General features: G+C 41.8%; 1 protein-coding gene across 10 annotated transcripts in view, besides 1 other annotated feature; it reads left to right on the forward strand.

Moving 5' to 3' along the window:
• The window catches only part of PAK3 (p21 (RAC1) activated kinase 3), a 282965-nt gene continuing 268068 nt past the window's right edge, over positions 1780–16676 (forward strand). For all 10 annotated transcript variants that reach the window (XM_047442148.1, XM_047442149.1, NM_001128166.3 and 7 more), the window contains exon 1: positions 1780–2011. The gene's annotated coding sequence lies outside the window, so the exon portion shown is untranslated. The remainder of the gene's footprint in view (positions 2012–16676) is intronic.
• Positions 2154–2989: an enhancer, noted in NCBI's record as "H3K4me1 hESC enhancer chrX:110187999-110188834 (GRCh37/hg19 assembly coordinates)". NCBI's record gives its function as "activates a minimal SCP1, AML or CMV promoter by ChIP-STARR-seq in primed H9 embryonic stem cells {active_cell/tissue: H9 hESC(primed)}" and the evidence as "EXISTENCE:reporter gene assay evidence [ECO:0000049][PMID:30033119]".

Below are 16676 nucleotides of genomic sequence, written 5' to 3' on the forward strand. Positions count from 1 at the left end.
TTTTTTTCTCTAATAATAACAGTTATTGTTTTACTGAGCCTTGCTGTATCTTAAGCATTTGCATCACTTCATTTCATTCTCACACCTCTACCACCCATTTTACAGGAGAAGCCATTGATATTGGGTCATCTTCCAAGGTTTTCCAGCTAAGGCAGTCTGTCTCCAGAGTCTAGCTTTTGTCCACTGCACTAACCTGCCTCTCTTGTTTGATATCCACATGCTTGGGATTGCCCAGGCTGGTGTGTAGGAGATAGGTTTCCTCCATGGATGGCAAATAATGATTCATTCTCATGACTTAGAGGAGACAGATCTAGCTTGTGGGGGAATCATTTACAAGTTTATCACCCTGGGAAATTCAGACTCTTTTCTTATTGTCCTTTCTGCAACTTCATTTCAAATTTTTCTTGTAGTAGCTGGTAGCAGAATCAAAGGAGTAATTATGTGTGCTGATTGGGGTCTGAGGCCTAAAAGTTAATTCTTTTTTGTCTACTGATCTATGGATTGCATCTGAATGCATCGATTTAACTGAAAATATTTTTTAAACTCTCATTCTAGTTAGCAATTTCAACTTCCCTCACTAAACCATTACTTCCAATATGGAGATAAATAGATGAATCTGAAGGTTCTTTCCAAGATATAATTTTAAAAAGGAACTTTGGCCTGGAAATCCAAAGGCCTGGGTTCCAGTTCTGGATCTGCCACTTATTAGCATGTAATTTTAGGCACATCCACTTAACCATGCTGAGACCTAGTTTCTTATCTGTAACACAGGAATAATGATATCTTCTGTGCCTAATTTACAGAGATGCCATGGTAGGGAAGTTGTTATTAGAAAGTGCTTTGTAAATCTCAAGGTACTCAACAAGCATAAGCCATTAGGCAAGATGAAGCAAAATGCTATGCTGAAAAGATCAAGAGTAGGAAGGAGATTTTCATCAGGGCTCCAAACACCAAGAATTGAATCATGGGGGAAGTTCATGTCTCTGACAATTGGTTTCTTACTTTAGCTTTAGGGATGCAGGTCCAAACTGGATCTCCAACTGGATCCGTGATGACCTTCAACCCTCTGATCCCCAAGAAACCAGTCTTGGTCCTCATCTAAACTGAGTACCCCACTCCTAGAGGAAAAATGCCAAGAGGATTAGTTGACCCCTTGTCACCAGAGAAGCCAGGGGCCAGCGTAATGTTGATTGGATAAACTGACTAAAAAGTAGAGAATTAATTTTATGCCACTTGCTTACAGGGACAGAGTTATTGCAATGGAAAGAAATAGAGGAGAAAGGGTAGAATGTAAATGCTGTATGAAGTTATAGGCACTCCAACTTGTAAATGTCGATCACAGTGAGAACAGAACTTATCTTCTGACTAGTCCAGGCATTGCCCAGTACGGTGTGAGTGCTCACTCAATGCAATGTGTTGGTGATGGTAACTGTCCTTGGTCTCTTTCCTTTCTCCTTGGCTATAGAGTTTTCAGAGAGATGTGTTGATGCAAGCTACCAGTGCCCAGAAAGAAGATTGAAGAAAGGGGTACGGGCACCTTCTCCCCGCCCTCGCTCCCCCCAGCCCCCATCCCACCGACCTAAACAGTCAGGCTTGAGAGACTGGAAGGGTTTCACTTCCGCCTGGCTGCAGGAACCACAAGTTCCAGACTAGGTCGTAATTGGAATAATCACAGTCAAAATACACCCAGATGCTCTCACACACCCAGACGCGCGCGCATCCCCGGGCCATGGGGCGCACGTGAGCCCGCACCCCGCGCACCCAGCCCTGCCTCTCGCCAGAGCATCCTCAGCAGCTGCCACCGAAGCAGCCTCCTCCTTCTCTCTTCCTCCTCCTCCTACCACGGCCGCCGCCACCACCGCTGCGGCTGTGATCTCCTATCCCCTCTGGTCCTCCTTCCTCCCCCAGTTCCTGCTCCTCCTCCCATCCCCTGCTCCTCCTGCCCAGCAGCGAAGGGCAGAACCCTCGGCTGCCGCCCTCCTTCGCTCTGACCAAGAAGAGGCTGGAACAGGTCTGTGCAGGGGGGGCGCTTTGTTGCGGGCTGCTGGAGCTCTTGTGGCTCCAACAGCCACTGGGAGGGCACGGGGCGGGAGGGATGGTAGATTATTTCCCAGTTTTCAGTCTTGCTGTATGAATAGATGCAGGGCGAAAGGCTGGGAAGGCAGCTGGTTCCCTTTGCCAGTTCGCCTTCCTTTTTGGTTCATGGCGAGAGAGCACTGAAGCTGCCCGGACTCCTGCCCCCGCCCACCCCTAAAGCTCTCTTTCTTTGCGTCCCCACTCCCTGCATCCACTTCCCCAGGCTGAGCTTTCTCTTGTTCAGGGAGCTCAGGGATGGGGGCGGGGAGAGATGGATGGAGATGATCCAGCCGGGCACCTGGGTGCCTGGGGCTTTGTTACATACAACAAAACCAGTCCTCCTCAGCTTCCAGCTCCAGGCTAGGCTGCGGTCCGCCGGCAATGTGGGGTGTGGGTCGGGCCGACTAGGGAAGTGAGAGAATGTGAGAGGACACTCCCTGTATGTGACTACACACAGGAATGCAGTGGTGTGTGTCGTGGAGATGGTGTGGGTTTTGTGTGGAATTCAGTGAGTGCGAGTTGGAGTGGTGTGTGTGTGTGTGTGTGTGCGTGTGTGTGTGTCTGCGCCATGGGGCTGGGCTACTCTTGGCATTACATGTCCTTGGGTCTCATTCCATGCCAAGCCAGACTGCAGCAACACGCAGGTGGATCAGGTCCAACCTGTTCTGCCCACATTGGAAGGATAATGATTGTTTTCAAAGTGATGGAAATCCCCCCAGCTGGGACTGTTGCTTAGGACTTTCTGGATGCGGAATTTCGAGCCAGGTTGACCAAGCCCTACCAGATAGCGTTATTGTTCTCCCAAAGATGCCCAACTTTCTTAGCAGGGTTTCCTCTCTCAGCCAATGAGGATCCAAAGCTCTTACAGTGATCCCTGCAGTGCCTTCCCACACCCATTTTAATTAGCGCATCCTAATGTCTTCAGGTCTTACTTACTACAGTGAAGTTAGTGGTGTGCTAGGATGTAGTTCTATGTTTGAACTAAAAAGAACAAACTAAATGCACCTATGTGTTAGTCATGAATTTGATATAGAGGTTTTTTTTTTCTTTCTTGAATGATAAGGTATGAACTGGTATGGCCACTTTTTAATCAAAGAAAGAAGAGGTCAATAAAAATGAACAAAACTGCTAAACCTTCTCTTTGACATTTTTATTTGTGGTTTTAATAAAGCATTGTTTTTCAGGGTCCAAAAATATACAGTTAAAGGTAGTGATTAATCAAACAGCAGACATTTTTTGCATACCTGCTATGTGTTATTAATGTTAAGTATTGAAAGTATATAAATGAATAAAACATCATCTCAGCTCACAGGGAGTGCACAATCTGGTAGGCAAGATAGAGCGTGTAAACAGACAATTAGAGTAAAGTATGACAAGGGGCAGGCAGGGTATTGTGGGAGCCCAAGGGAGGTATGCTTGATTGGGGATGGGGGTTATGATCAAGAAAGGCTTCATGGGCGAGGTGACATTTGAGTTGAGTCTTGAAGAATTAATTCACCAGGTTACTAAGTGGAAAATGGTATCCTAAGTTGAAAGAATGGCATGTATGAAGGTAGAGAGGTCATAGTTAAGTGAGACTGCAGGGAGTCCTTGGAAGTGTGACTGCCAAATTCTCAACAAACTCAGAATGGGTCTTTCTGGTTTGGAGTGATGACTGGTGGCCAAAAAAAAAAGCCAGTATTGCAGATTGATAAAGACCACAACACATCTCTATATTAAGAAACATCTGGCTCATTTATTAATATTAGTGTGTTTTGCTTTAAGCAAATCTGATATATGTAAATGTGAGATTCCAAGGCAAATGAACTAAATGGACAATATTTACATTGCAGAATTTGCTGCTTTACAAAAGGATTCATAATCAGATTATGTTAATTAACACTGCCTCTCTGACCTTTACAGTGAATTTCTTTTAACCAAAAATCCACTAACGGAATTTTTCCAATAGTCCATGAATGGATAAAGACAGGCATACCTGCATTACATTTACTTTTTGCACAAAAATTTACCAACTTCAACGCAGGAATTTCCTCTCATTCTGTGGATGTTTAATAAATACTAAAAGAAAATATGAAAATGCTAGTAATGAATATTAAATCCATTGGCTGTGATCTTTTATCATTCAAACTGTATATAAAATAGAAACTAACCTGAACGGGATCTTGAGGAATTTTTACATTTTAGGTACTTTTAGTAGTTTCACTGGTAATTAACAATGGTACAAGATTTCTGTGCTGTATGTTAGTTTTAAAATGGATATATAATAACTGCTCTAATGCTCGTGCAATTAAGCCAGAACAGGGGCACATTCTGAGTCTCCTGTTTTGTTGTGTTGGTGCTGATTGCATTCATAGGCTGATAAATGGCCCTGGGAGTGAGACTAAGAGACTGATTATTTCTACTGGAAATGCCTGGTGGTCACAAAATTATGCTAGGTAAGAGTGTGGGTTCTGAGAACATGGATCAGCACCCATCTGGAGCACCTCTCCCCTTAAATGAAGACCAAAAATAGCCCTGGGTTCTATTTGAAAGGAATGACAGAAGTAGATGAGCTTGAATGACTTCTTTCCTCGTCTGGACAATACCTTGCTGTGGAGGAGTTGATGGCCTAGGGTACTTTGGGCACATAAAGGTCCTTTGTTCACTGGCTGTCAATACCAGAAGGTATCAGGCAGTATCTCTAAGATACATTCTCCAAAGCTTGGGCTGGAATGGAATCGATCTGTCAGCTGTGTTGATGTTCAGATCTGTCTAGTTACTAGACAGTGTTTTTTGATGTAGGTTCTAAAGAAGACTAGTTCCATAGAATGTTAGTAGGGCACACCTCTCCCCATCCACACACACACACAAACACACAGGGTTTTGTGGTCAAGTTAAGTTTTGGAAATTCTTACTTAAACATAAACAGGTTTCTTTCCTGCAGGGCTTCTAAAAGTCTTTACTAGGCTAATGAATATTGTGACTCTCCAGGAGTATAAAATATGCAGCATTTCTCAGATGGAATTACCCATAGAGCATGGTGTTCCAACAAGCATTTGGGTCTACTGGTGTTGAGAGACACGTTCTTTGGGTAAAAGCATTCTCTGCTGAGTTCTGAGTTCAGAGGCTGTCGGCATCTTGCTGGGTAAGCTTGGATGACTCGCTTTACCCCTCCAGGCTTTCCTTCCTTCCCCCCTCTTTAAAATGAGGTTGATAATAATCATCACTCTCACTGACTGTGATGGTGTGATGACAACTAAGATAATATCTCTGTAAGTATTTTGAGCTGCTTAGAAGAAAGGCTGTATGTAAACTCAAGGTTATTATTAAAGTGAAGTGAAGAATTAAGGCAATTATCCTGATAATGCAGGCCCAAATTCTGTCTTTCTGCTGAATTATTGGGCAGACTGCCTCATTTCTCTGCTCTGCTTTGACTGCAGAGACCTATCCTCATTCAACCTTGGCTGACTCAGTTCTCTGGGTTTATTTCCTTTCATATTCTGAAAATTTCAGCATGGCCTTTAATATCCTGGTCCAGAGGTATCATCAGTACAGCCTTCAGAAAAAGTCCATCAATCTGAACATACACTGCTGACTAGAGAACCCTGGAGTTAGGAATTAAGTTTAGTTGGAAAGTTGCTTTTATCCTTCAGACTAATTGTCTTTCAGAAGCATTTGTAAAGGGCCATGTTGGAAGCTAGCTGGTGCAGGATTTCTCTCCAGTAGCCCCAACACCCAACCTGGGCTGGAGTCCTGTTTACAGGAGACGCTTCTTGAACAACAGTTTCAGGGGTCCATTTTGTCAATGGGAAGCTGAGGCCATCTTTAAGGAAATTTAAAGATAAAGGAAATAGCATTCATGTGACTATTGACCCTTCTTGGATCCCTTGACTGCTATTAATTCCCAGAACCTTTTTTTCTTTACAAACTGCCTTGAAAGGAGAATGGAGTTCTTGAGACTTAATGGCTGATAATCATTGCAAACTGGGTTTGGGGTAGAGACTGTTGCACAAGGCATTCAGTCTCTACCCCAAAATGAACGTCAAGACATTCGGGTTGCTGGTTCTAGAGTACTCTATACTCAGATTAGCTCTTCTCTGCATGAAAGCAGCAAGCTTCAGTTGTAATAGGAAGGATTTCTGTTAGCCACAAGAGATAACTGTGTGACTTTAAGACTGTGTGATGCTGTAAAGCCAGAGTGAAGTTATTCGCTGTTCTGGAGTACATAGTGGAGATGCTTGTTCAGTGGGGGACATTCATAGAATGGTAGAGCTACAAATGCCTATGGAAGTTTCTCTGTTGTAAACCTTATGTTTGGATGATGAAAATGAGGATGGAAGAAGTGAAGTGAGTTGTCCAAGGTCACACAGCTACCACATGACAGAACAGAAGTCATTCTAAGAGTTGAAACTCAGATCTGCTGCCTCCCAGTGTTCTTCTCTTTGACTTAACTGCCTTCTTGTGTAGTTCAGGGGAGTGAGGATTGGCTCATTTGGTGGGACTTGGAGGTCATGTCCAGTTCTGAGCAGTGTGGGCTCTCACATTGCAGTTTTAGCAGAGGGATAGGTTTCTAGTGGAGACCTAAAAGACCATGCTTCTCTCTCTCCCTCCTCATTCCTCTTGAGTGTATAGTTGTCTGATTCACCAAGCCAAGCACCCAGTTGGTAACCTGAGGACTAGATATTCTACCTGAGATTCATGGTGGATGATTTGATCATCCTAGTCCTTTTACTTTGGTGATTGATTAATAACCATTTTCTGTGTGCCAAGGATCCCCTTGAAAGTCATGAAAGCTACTGATGCACTCCCCAGAGAAGGCCTCTCATCCATGGACATGTGCATGTAATTTCAAAGCATTGTAGGTCGAGAGCTCTTGCTCTGCTTGCTGTTGGTATTGGTACACAGCCTAGGGTGACTGGTAGAAGCTCCCTAAATATGAAAGATTCCCAGAGGTGGAATTGTCAATCTTAACTCGGAGGGAAATGGAAATGCTGGGATGAGCTTTGTGCCAAATAGACAGGGGACAGGGAGTAGAGTGGAATTTCTTATGGATAAAAGAATGGAATTGGATCCTGAATTCGAGATAAAAATAGAAAAGGAATTGAAGTGAGCTAACCATGTCCCCTTCCTTCAACCTTATGAAAGAAAGTGAAGTGGGGAAGCTAGGCAGGTGGGAAATTTGGGAGGACTGGGGAGGGGGTCAGTCCAGAAAGGATGGCAATCATGCCATATTTAAATGAAATAAAAATTCTTCCCAAAGAATGAGACAACTCTTTCACTTCTCTCCAGATTTCTTACCCTAGTCAAACACCTAAATACCAAAAGCTCAGGGCTTTGGGTATTAGAAGTTGTCTTAGATTCTGGAACACTGTCTCCTTGAAAAGGACACATTTAAAGGCTGGGAGTGGGGGCTGGACATTGTGGGGGAGTGGCACAGCATGGCTCTCTTCTTGTTTACAAAAGCATTTTTATTATCAAAGAACACATGCTCATTCTTGCTTATAAAAATAGAGATATGATGTAGAATGTTCCTTCCTTGTCTCTCCAACACTGATCCCCCACCATGTTCACAGGTTGGTATGTATCACATTGTGCATGTTTTTATGAATATTCACATAAATACATTCATGTACATAAAATAATCAAAGATGTGACCATGTGCTGTTCTACAGAATGCTTTTTACTGAACTATATGTCTGAAGATCTTTTATTGCCAGTAGACATCTAGTTATTTCATTCTTGTTTTTAAATTTTACTTTAAGTTCTGGGATACATGTGCAGAATGTGCAGGTTTGTTACATAGGTATACATGTGCCATGGCGGTTTGCTGCACCTATCAACCCATCATCTAGGTTTTAAGCCCCGCATGCATTAGGGATTTGTCCTAATGCTCTCCCTCTCCTTGTCCCCCAACCCGTGATAGGCTCCAGTGTGTGATGTTCCGCTCCCTGTGTATTTTATTCTTATAAATAACTGCATAGTATTCTATTATATAATTGTAATATAATCTCTTTAATCCAACCTTTGTTGATGAATTTTTGCATTATTTCTGATTATTTTTACATTATTAAATATTGGTGCAATGTACCTTCTTGTACATACAACTCTGCATACCACTGTGAGCAATTTTGTCATATAAATTTAAAGTAGTAAAGTTGCTGGTTTGGAGTTTGATTTGCACATCTTTGATTTTAATAGAGCCTGCCAAACTGCCTCTCAGAAAGGCTATCACAATTTACCTTCCCATCAACAGTGGCCATTTCTCCACACTCTTCCTCATCAATTTCAGATATTATTGATCTTTTTAATCTTAGACAATGTGAAGGCTGAAAAAAAATCTCCTTTCTCTTTGCATTTCATTGAGTACTAGTGAGGTTGAACATCTTTTCATGTGTTTTTTTGGCCATCTGTATTTCTTCTGTGTTGCCATTTCATATCCCTTGCCTGTTTTTCTTTTGAGTTGTTCTTTCTGCTTCTGATAACTGGGTTCTCCTTCTTTTGAGTTGTTCTTTCTGCTTCTGATAATGAGGATCTCTAAATATTTTGGATAGTAACCATTTAACTCTTCTCTATGTTGCAAATATATTAAGCAGTTTATCGTTTGTCTTTTAACTTTGATTTGGATGTCTTTCACTGTACAGAAATGTTTATGATTTTTGTAAAAATCACAATTTTCAATCTATTCCTTTATAAGCCAACAATGCCACAATTAGATATCCTTGCACTATGTCATATACAGTTGGCTCATTATTTCCTTAAGATAAATTCCTAGGATTAGATTTGTTCAGTTAATATTTTTCTCGATATTGCCAAATTGCTTTCTAAAATATTTCTAGCAAGTTACACTCCAACTACAGTGTATACAAGTACATTTTCCCCCTCCTCCTGACGTCTTCTGATAATTCAGGTTTTGGCTCTTAAATCAAATGCTAGGCTGAAATTCATATTTGACTGGGAGGAAAGGCAAGACTGAGAAAGGCTGGGAGCAGAAATCCCTAACTGCACGTGGAACACCTGTAATACATGTTTCACCTTCAATTATTTAAGTAAACATGCTCTTTAATTCATTTCCAACTAGAACTGTGTCGAAAGCGTTTTCCAACGTTAAATCACTCTAAATTCACTGTGAAATGAATGACCATTTAGGGTCATCTCTGCTGGCAGCATCTGCAACAGCAGGCAATGATGAACTAACTTTAGAGCTCTATCTCATCTTAAGACACTTGGAAAAAATCTACTGCTGCATCTTCACTGATCTCTGAGGTCAGCTAGATTGGTTCCATAACTTTCTGAAGGCTGAGTGGTGAGTAGGAATCAGTTTCTATTTAACTTGGCTTCCTGCAAAGAGGACAAGTTTGAGGTCCTCCCATGAGAAGTTATTCTAACAGAAATAAACAGTGATGTCACACTCTGCAAAGGGTATAGTGCCAAACAAGTACAGGTGTAGCTTTTTCCCTTACTCTGCCTGGGCTTGCTTCATCTTCTTGTGCCTGTTTTCTGCCAGTATCCAGATATGGTCAAGGGTATTTTGGTGTGTGCTTTAGGCCAAAGGTAGGGTCTGTGGATTAGAAGATGGAAGTCTGAGTGGTAGTTTATGTAGCTTACGAATATCTTTTGTCTGAAGAGCACAGTAGCAACCTAAAATCCTTTGGAGGTGGCAGGGCAATGGGGAAACATGAAAAAGTGGTGATGATAGTTGTTGCTTACCCATTTTACAGATGGAGAACACATCTGGAAAGGAGAAATGCTCCAAGAGTTGGACACTGCTGGAAAAGGATCCTGGCATACCTCCTAATACTTGCTAACTAAAGATTTGGCAACTTCTCTCCTCTAGGGATATATGTATGTGCCTTTAAAGTGAAGCTTCCTGATTTGATATGTTTAATAATGCCCTTTGTACTTACCCATCATTCACTTTATCTAGTGTGGTACTGACACAGCCCACCCCAGGGACGATTTTGAGCTGTCAGAAGATGGGTGGATTATTGTCCCCAAAGGAATAATTTGGATTACTTGAACTATTGACAATTATGAGTTGTGGTTTTCCACTTACCTCAAAATCTTGGTATTTGGCAAATGACTTTAGATTGTATCTAATATTTGTCTTTTTTTCTCCTTTTTAAAGATTTGGACTAGAGTAAGCATAGTTCACAGAGGAAATGATGGCCAGATAATATAATTATTAAATTTTGCTGCCTTGAAAAAAGTGGTTTTAGTTTTTATGCTAATGAATGTCCTGTTTTAAAACTAGTGTTTCTCTTTTTAATTGCCAAATAATTTAAAATTGAAACATCATAGCCACAGATATGGATTCTATGCATAAATCATATGATACATTTATACTTTTTGATGGTTACAAGTGGAAAGGTCATCTTTCTTTTTAAAACTATGCTTGGTGCTTTAAGTAGAATTGGAAATTGTCATGTTTTTCTTTTCTAATGAACTATTCTGCAAAGGTAACATTGTTTTTTTAACTCTGATTAGAACTGGAAGGGGATGTCTGACTCCATACTTAATCCAAAAATAAAAACCTCATTAACAAAGAGGCAAAGAGAGTCAGTAAATGGAGCTTACATTAAATTGGGAGGCAGAAGTCCAGGGTTCGAGTTCTGGTTTTGTTATTAATTAGTTGTGTGACCCTGAACTAGAGCTTAAATGCCTCTGAGCCTCAGATTCCTGACATATAAAATGAGGGCATCGTTAGGAATTGATGATCCATATTGTAATTCCTTCAACTTAAACAAGGCATTCTCCTCTCCAAAGTCAATGTTTGCTTTGTGACAGAATCACTTGGGGACATTTTAAAAATATATTTTGAAGGCCCCACCTCAACCAGTTGAATCTGAACTCCAAGGGTAGACCCAGGAAACCTATTTGTTAACTAGCTTCTTAGGTGATTTGGGAGAAGACTGGAACACCCTCCAGAGGTAACTTTCAGGAGGCAAGATCTCCTGGTGTTTTCTGGCTTGAGGGAATGAAAGCATTTTCAAAAGTGGGGAAGTCCAGGTCACCTAGGAGCTCTGGCTTAGAAATCTATGATATGAAACTGCACTTGAGGAGGCTGGCTTTTGGCCTAGCTCCCTGGGACTGGTTTCTGCAGAGGTGAATGGAGAGCACAGTGTTCTTCTTAAGAAGAGCGAGTTTGGACGAACAAACTGACCAGTCATTTAATAATGAGTATATTTCAAGCCCTTTGGCACACTACCTTGAGAAGAAGCATTACTGAGAGAGGGCACAGTGATTTCCATAACTCCTAGACTGTTTTGGCCCAAGCTTTCCTTTGAATCCTATTTCAAATTTCTATTCCCTCTTTGACTTTTTCAACTTTTGTTCTTCTTCCCTTCATTAAATTCACAGTGTTGCAGTGGGTTTTTCCCACTTCCCCTTGATCTCACTGATCTTATTTCCTTCAGCCATAGGCACTCTCTCAATACCATCCTATCTTCTAAATGCCAAAAAGAAAGGAGTCAGCACTAGTGTACACCAATTTGCCCCACTATTTCCTTCTGCGCCAACTTTCAGCCCTTCACTTCATTATGGGAGTAGTTGGAGCTAGGGAAATGCTTCTCTAAGGCAAACTTTCAGAGACAGCAAGTGTTTCTTTTTATATATAGCTCCCATTTATTAACTGTTTGTTGTGTGTCAGGTATTGCACTGCTCTTTGCATGTGTTGTCTCATTTAATTTTCTCTGCAACTCTGTTAGGTTAATACTGTTAGCATTCCATTTTACAGAGGAGGGAACTAAGGCTCAGAGCAGCTAAGTGATTTGCACAAGTTCACTCAGATGGTGAGCAGCAAAGTGAATCTCTGTCTGGTCTTGGGGTCTGAATGGTTAAACAGAGTGTTCTACTATTAAGGGCTTCCTGTGGTAATAAGACTGTGTTACACCAAAGGGGAATGTATGAAGCAACAGATCTTCTTGGGTGTGACCAGTCTGAGCCTTGAAGCAACAATAAAGACCAGGAAAGAAAGGGGAGGTTCATTTTAATGGCAGCAAAATGTTGCCAGAATTATTGTGTGTCATTGTAGGGGTGGGGCTCAGAGATTAGTCTTGATTCTTGTGAATTGTTAACTGAGTAAATCTCTAAATATTATCATTGAGAGATAAATTCCTGATATCCCCATGACTATTGTTTGTGTCACAAATCATGGGAATGTGGAACATACTTTTTGTTTTCCTCCTCCTACTCCCAGCAGGAGACTAGTGCCAAGGGTATAGAGGACCTCTGGGAGGCAGGGAGTGACTTCCTGGATGTTTTCAGCTAAAGGGAGCCTGGGTGGGGGAAGACAACCAGGGAGAGGACCCAGAATAACATGAATAACAGTGTCATTGGCTGGGATTATTGGGTTTCCAGCTCACTCAAGTTCTTCCTGTCTGATTCTCATTATCAAACTTGCAGCATGCAGCAAAGGATATTTGGCATCCAGCAATACAGACTCATTGATCTACGACTGATACGATTCAAACTCATGAACATAACCAAAGCATGCACTGCAATTTCCAGACTATACGTATGGGACCAAATCCATCCTTAAACCCTAACCTAATGCCCTTTTTGAAGTAGCCGAACTTTTCACTTTGACTGTAGTATAGGGCATTGAGCAATTTAACATCACTGCACAAAAACAGACCATTTGTTTTCTTTCCCGCAGCTCTTTCCTAGAAAGATCTTCTACTGGCTATAATTTCTCTAAAAATTCCCTTCCAATTGGAGCCCTCAGGGGAGGACTTGCACCCATTTCCTGCAATATCTGTCCTCTTTATTGCCGTTTCCGGTAATGAGAGTCAATAGGCATCAAGAAACCAAAGATGAGCCAGGCATGGGGGTGTGCACCTGTAGTGCACCTCAGCTACTAGGGAGGCTGAGGTGGGAGGATCACTTAAGCCCACGAGTTTGAGGCTGCAGTGAGCTGTGATTGTGCCACTACCCTCCAGCCTGGGCAAAAGAGTGAGACCCTGTCTCTTGATAAAACAGGAAAGAAAGGGAGAAACCAAGAAACTACGGTCTTGTAAGGCCTCAATTGCTTACTCCATGTCTAATGCCAGATAAGTCACTTTGCCTCTTTAGGCCTCAGTTCTTCCATCTGCAATGATTCTAATTCTCCCTTCTCTGTGGAAAACTTGGAGCAATCAGATCACTGAAAACAGACTACTTTGAAAGAAAAGTGGTCCAAGATATATGACTGTGAATGTCTTCATGTTTTCCCTGGCAAAAGAGCTGTTTTGGAGCAAAAAAGAGGGTAGGGTAAAGGTTAAAAGATCACTTGCTTAAGTTTAAGTCCCTGCTCTGCCTTCTGCTAGCTGTGTGGTCTTGGAAAGTTTCTTAACCACCTAACTGCCTTGGCTCTGTAAAATGGAAAAAATAATATTAGTACTTACCTCACAGAGTTGTGGTGAGGAATCAAAGAGATAATCTATGTCTGTCCAATAGATAGTGTTTATTTATGGCAACTATTTTTATTTTGAATGCATGAAGCTCCATGAAGAGGTTTGGATCCTGGCTCAGGCACTTTGGACAGTCATTTAGCCTCTCTAAACCTCTGTTTCTTCACTTGTGTAATGGGGATAATAATAGTAGCTACGTTTTTGGGTTTCTTGAGGAATATATAAGATAATTCCTGCAAAGTTCTCAGTACACCACCTGGTACACAGACGTGCTCAATAAGCTATTGCTATTATCATTCGGTTGCCATCCTCAGAGGACTTGTGGATCCCTTGGTCCCTGCTTTTCTATATCTGGACCACCTATGGGCCTGGCTCCCACCCCAGAAAATATTTCTGGTGCCTGTGATGTACTATTATCCTCATTTACCCTTGTTTGGGTTAAGTAGAGGAGATAGCCTTTTTGCATAGGGGAGGCCCCAAGACTGAGGGGACTTCTTGCTAAAGCACTGCACAAGGGCTGCTTGTGGAGAACAGCTGATTCCTTGACCTCGAAAATGTTTCACACAGTGACCAAAATGGGAACAAAGCAGACCCTGCTTTACGACTCCCACTGGAGCCTGGTCCCATGAAGCACAAAGTTCTGTCATTGCCCTCCCCACGCCTCCCCTGTCGGCTCCACCAGCCATATATTCCCTTCTGACATTCCTCCAAGACAACTGGTCAGAGAGCACTTAGTCTCCTCCCCACATAATATGTTGAGTAAGGCAACCAGATGCTGCCATAGTGACAATTCCTACCTGATCAATAGAGCTGGGAATTAAGCCCTGGTGACAGGACCTTCTTTGTGGAGGGCCTCCTCCCAGGGCATCGCCTAGCTCAGCCTGGTGATGAAGCAACCTGCCCTACCCACCACTGTCTGTGTACTAATCTCTGGGCCTTTCTCTATACATTAATCCACATCTCTGGGGCCCCAAAGTGACCATTTCAGAGAAATTTTGACCTCATTGGATTCCCCAATGTTTCTGCCTTGGTTCAGACCTTCATGATTTCTTGCCTGAACTATATCATATTATTGTTCCTGCTACTTTTACTTCTATGAATAACAATAAATTATAGCTAACAGTTATTGTGTACTTATTATGTCCTAGTTGCTGTGCTAGCATTTGCATGTATTATCTCATTTAATAGTCACAAAAACCCTATGAGGCAGGCACTATTATCCCCATTTTACAGAGGAGCAATTATAATACCAGCTAACATATATTGAGTGCTTACCATGTGCTAGGCACTGTGCTAGCTGCCTTATATATTTTTTTCTCATTTAATCCTCATGATAACTGTATGAGGTAGGCATTATTACTACTAATAGAGATATCTGTAGGCCTCTGGTAGTAAAGGACTGGATAAGAACCCTGATACTTATGAAATATTCAGAAGGGTTGCATGACCCAAGAGGACTTTGGATGTACTTTTACAAGTCCTTCCTCACTAGGTGCTTGGGTACAGTAGACATTGCTCATTTTGAATCTTGCAGGGACCCTGGCCATGGCTGGTGATAGGAGAAGGAGTGGTGAGTCTTTCTTACCCTGGGTTGTTTTAGGGATATCTGGGATCAGGCTATGGTAGAGGCACAAAAATTTTCATGCCTTGCTCATGGTGTTTTCCTACTTGGTCTTCTCTAAAAATCCTTCTCAGACCATGTCACTTCTTTCTTTCATTCCTTTAGTCATTCATCCTTTCATCCCAAGGACACATGTTGATTACCTACTATATACTAGGTAATGTGCTAGACATTCGGAATATTATTATAAGCGAAACAGACATAAAACCTACCCTCATGAAGCTTATGGTCTAATGGAGGAGACAAACATTAAACAAATAAACTCAGACACATATAATTGTAAATTATAGTAGTGCTGTGAAGGAAAAGTATAGGGTAGGAGAGACAATAGCAGGGGAGACTTCATTGAGATGGTTGAGGAGCATGAAGAAAGGCCCTTCTAGGGGAAATGACACCTAAGCTGAGGCCTGAAACGTGAATAAATATTAACAAAGAGTGTTTCATGCAGAGAGAGCAAATTGTACAGACACCCTGAGGTGGGTACTTTCCATATTCAAGTGACTAAAAGAGACAGTGAACCGGGAGAAAGTGATGCTCAATGAGGTCGGAGACCATGCAGAACCTTGAAGGCCATGGTAATGAGTTCCCTTTTTATGCCAAGAGCAGATGGAAGCCAATGAAGTAGAATCAGTGAAGTAAGGGTAGAATCAGGGTAATGTAATTCATAGTTTTACAATATCATTCTGGCCGCTATATAAAATGGAACTTAAGAGTGGCGAGAAGAGAAAGAGGGGCAAGCTAGGAGGCCATGACAGTAGTCCAGGAAAAGAGATGGTGGTGGCCTGGACTAGAGGTGACAGTGGCCATGAAGAGGAGGGCAAATGCAGCATGTGTTTCAAAAGAGCTTGCTACTAGACTGGATATAAGGACTAAGAGGAGAGAGGAATCTAGGAAGACTTCCATGTTTCTAGCTTGAATAACGTGATGAAAGGTGTCCATTTATGGACATGGGGAAGTATCCTGAAGCAGATTGAGTTGAGCTCTCATCCTGTGCCATATTCAGTCTAAAATGCTCATTTAGCATATAAGCTCTATTACCTTGTTTTGATGGTAGTTAACATGAATGCATTTGTTCTCTCCCTAGGTAGGTTTTAAGCCCCTTGAGGACAGTAGCTGTGTCTTACTCATCTCTATATTCCCCAAGGCACCCAAGATATGATGTATTAAATGCTGTATGATTGATTAACAAAGGGAAGAGGTTCCTTTCTCTTTCAACCTTACTCTTCTTGCCAAGGCATGGGACATTACTCTGGATTATGCTTTTTTAAAAAAACAAATGTGACGCACTCAATGATATATATTATTTGATATAGACTTTGAACTTCATTCAATCATTAATCACCTTTTGAATAACTCCTGCCATATGAGCAAGATACATAAGGCACACATACGTTTGCTCTGCAGAATACCCTTCAGCAGTGCAGTACAGGCTATGGAGTCACAGAAGAATGGTCTCACGGGAATGTGTGGGCTAGGTCAGGATTGGCAGAGCAGAAGACTAGAAGTAGCCTAAAAGCCTGAGTTGTTTAGGCAGTTAGTTTTAACTCTGGAACAACTTCACTCCAATGATTTCCTCCCAAAAGGGTCTATTCAGAGTTTCGAGACATCTTAAT

Source organism: Homo sapiens, chromosome X (genome assembly GCF_000001405.40).
Source record: "Homo sapiens chromosome X, GRCh38.p14 Primary Assembly".
Classification (NCBI taxonomy): Eukaryota; Metazoa; Chordata; class Mammalia; order Primates; family Hominidae; genus Homo; species Homo sapiens.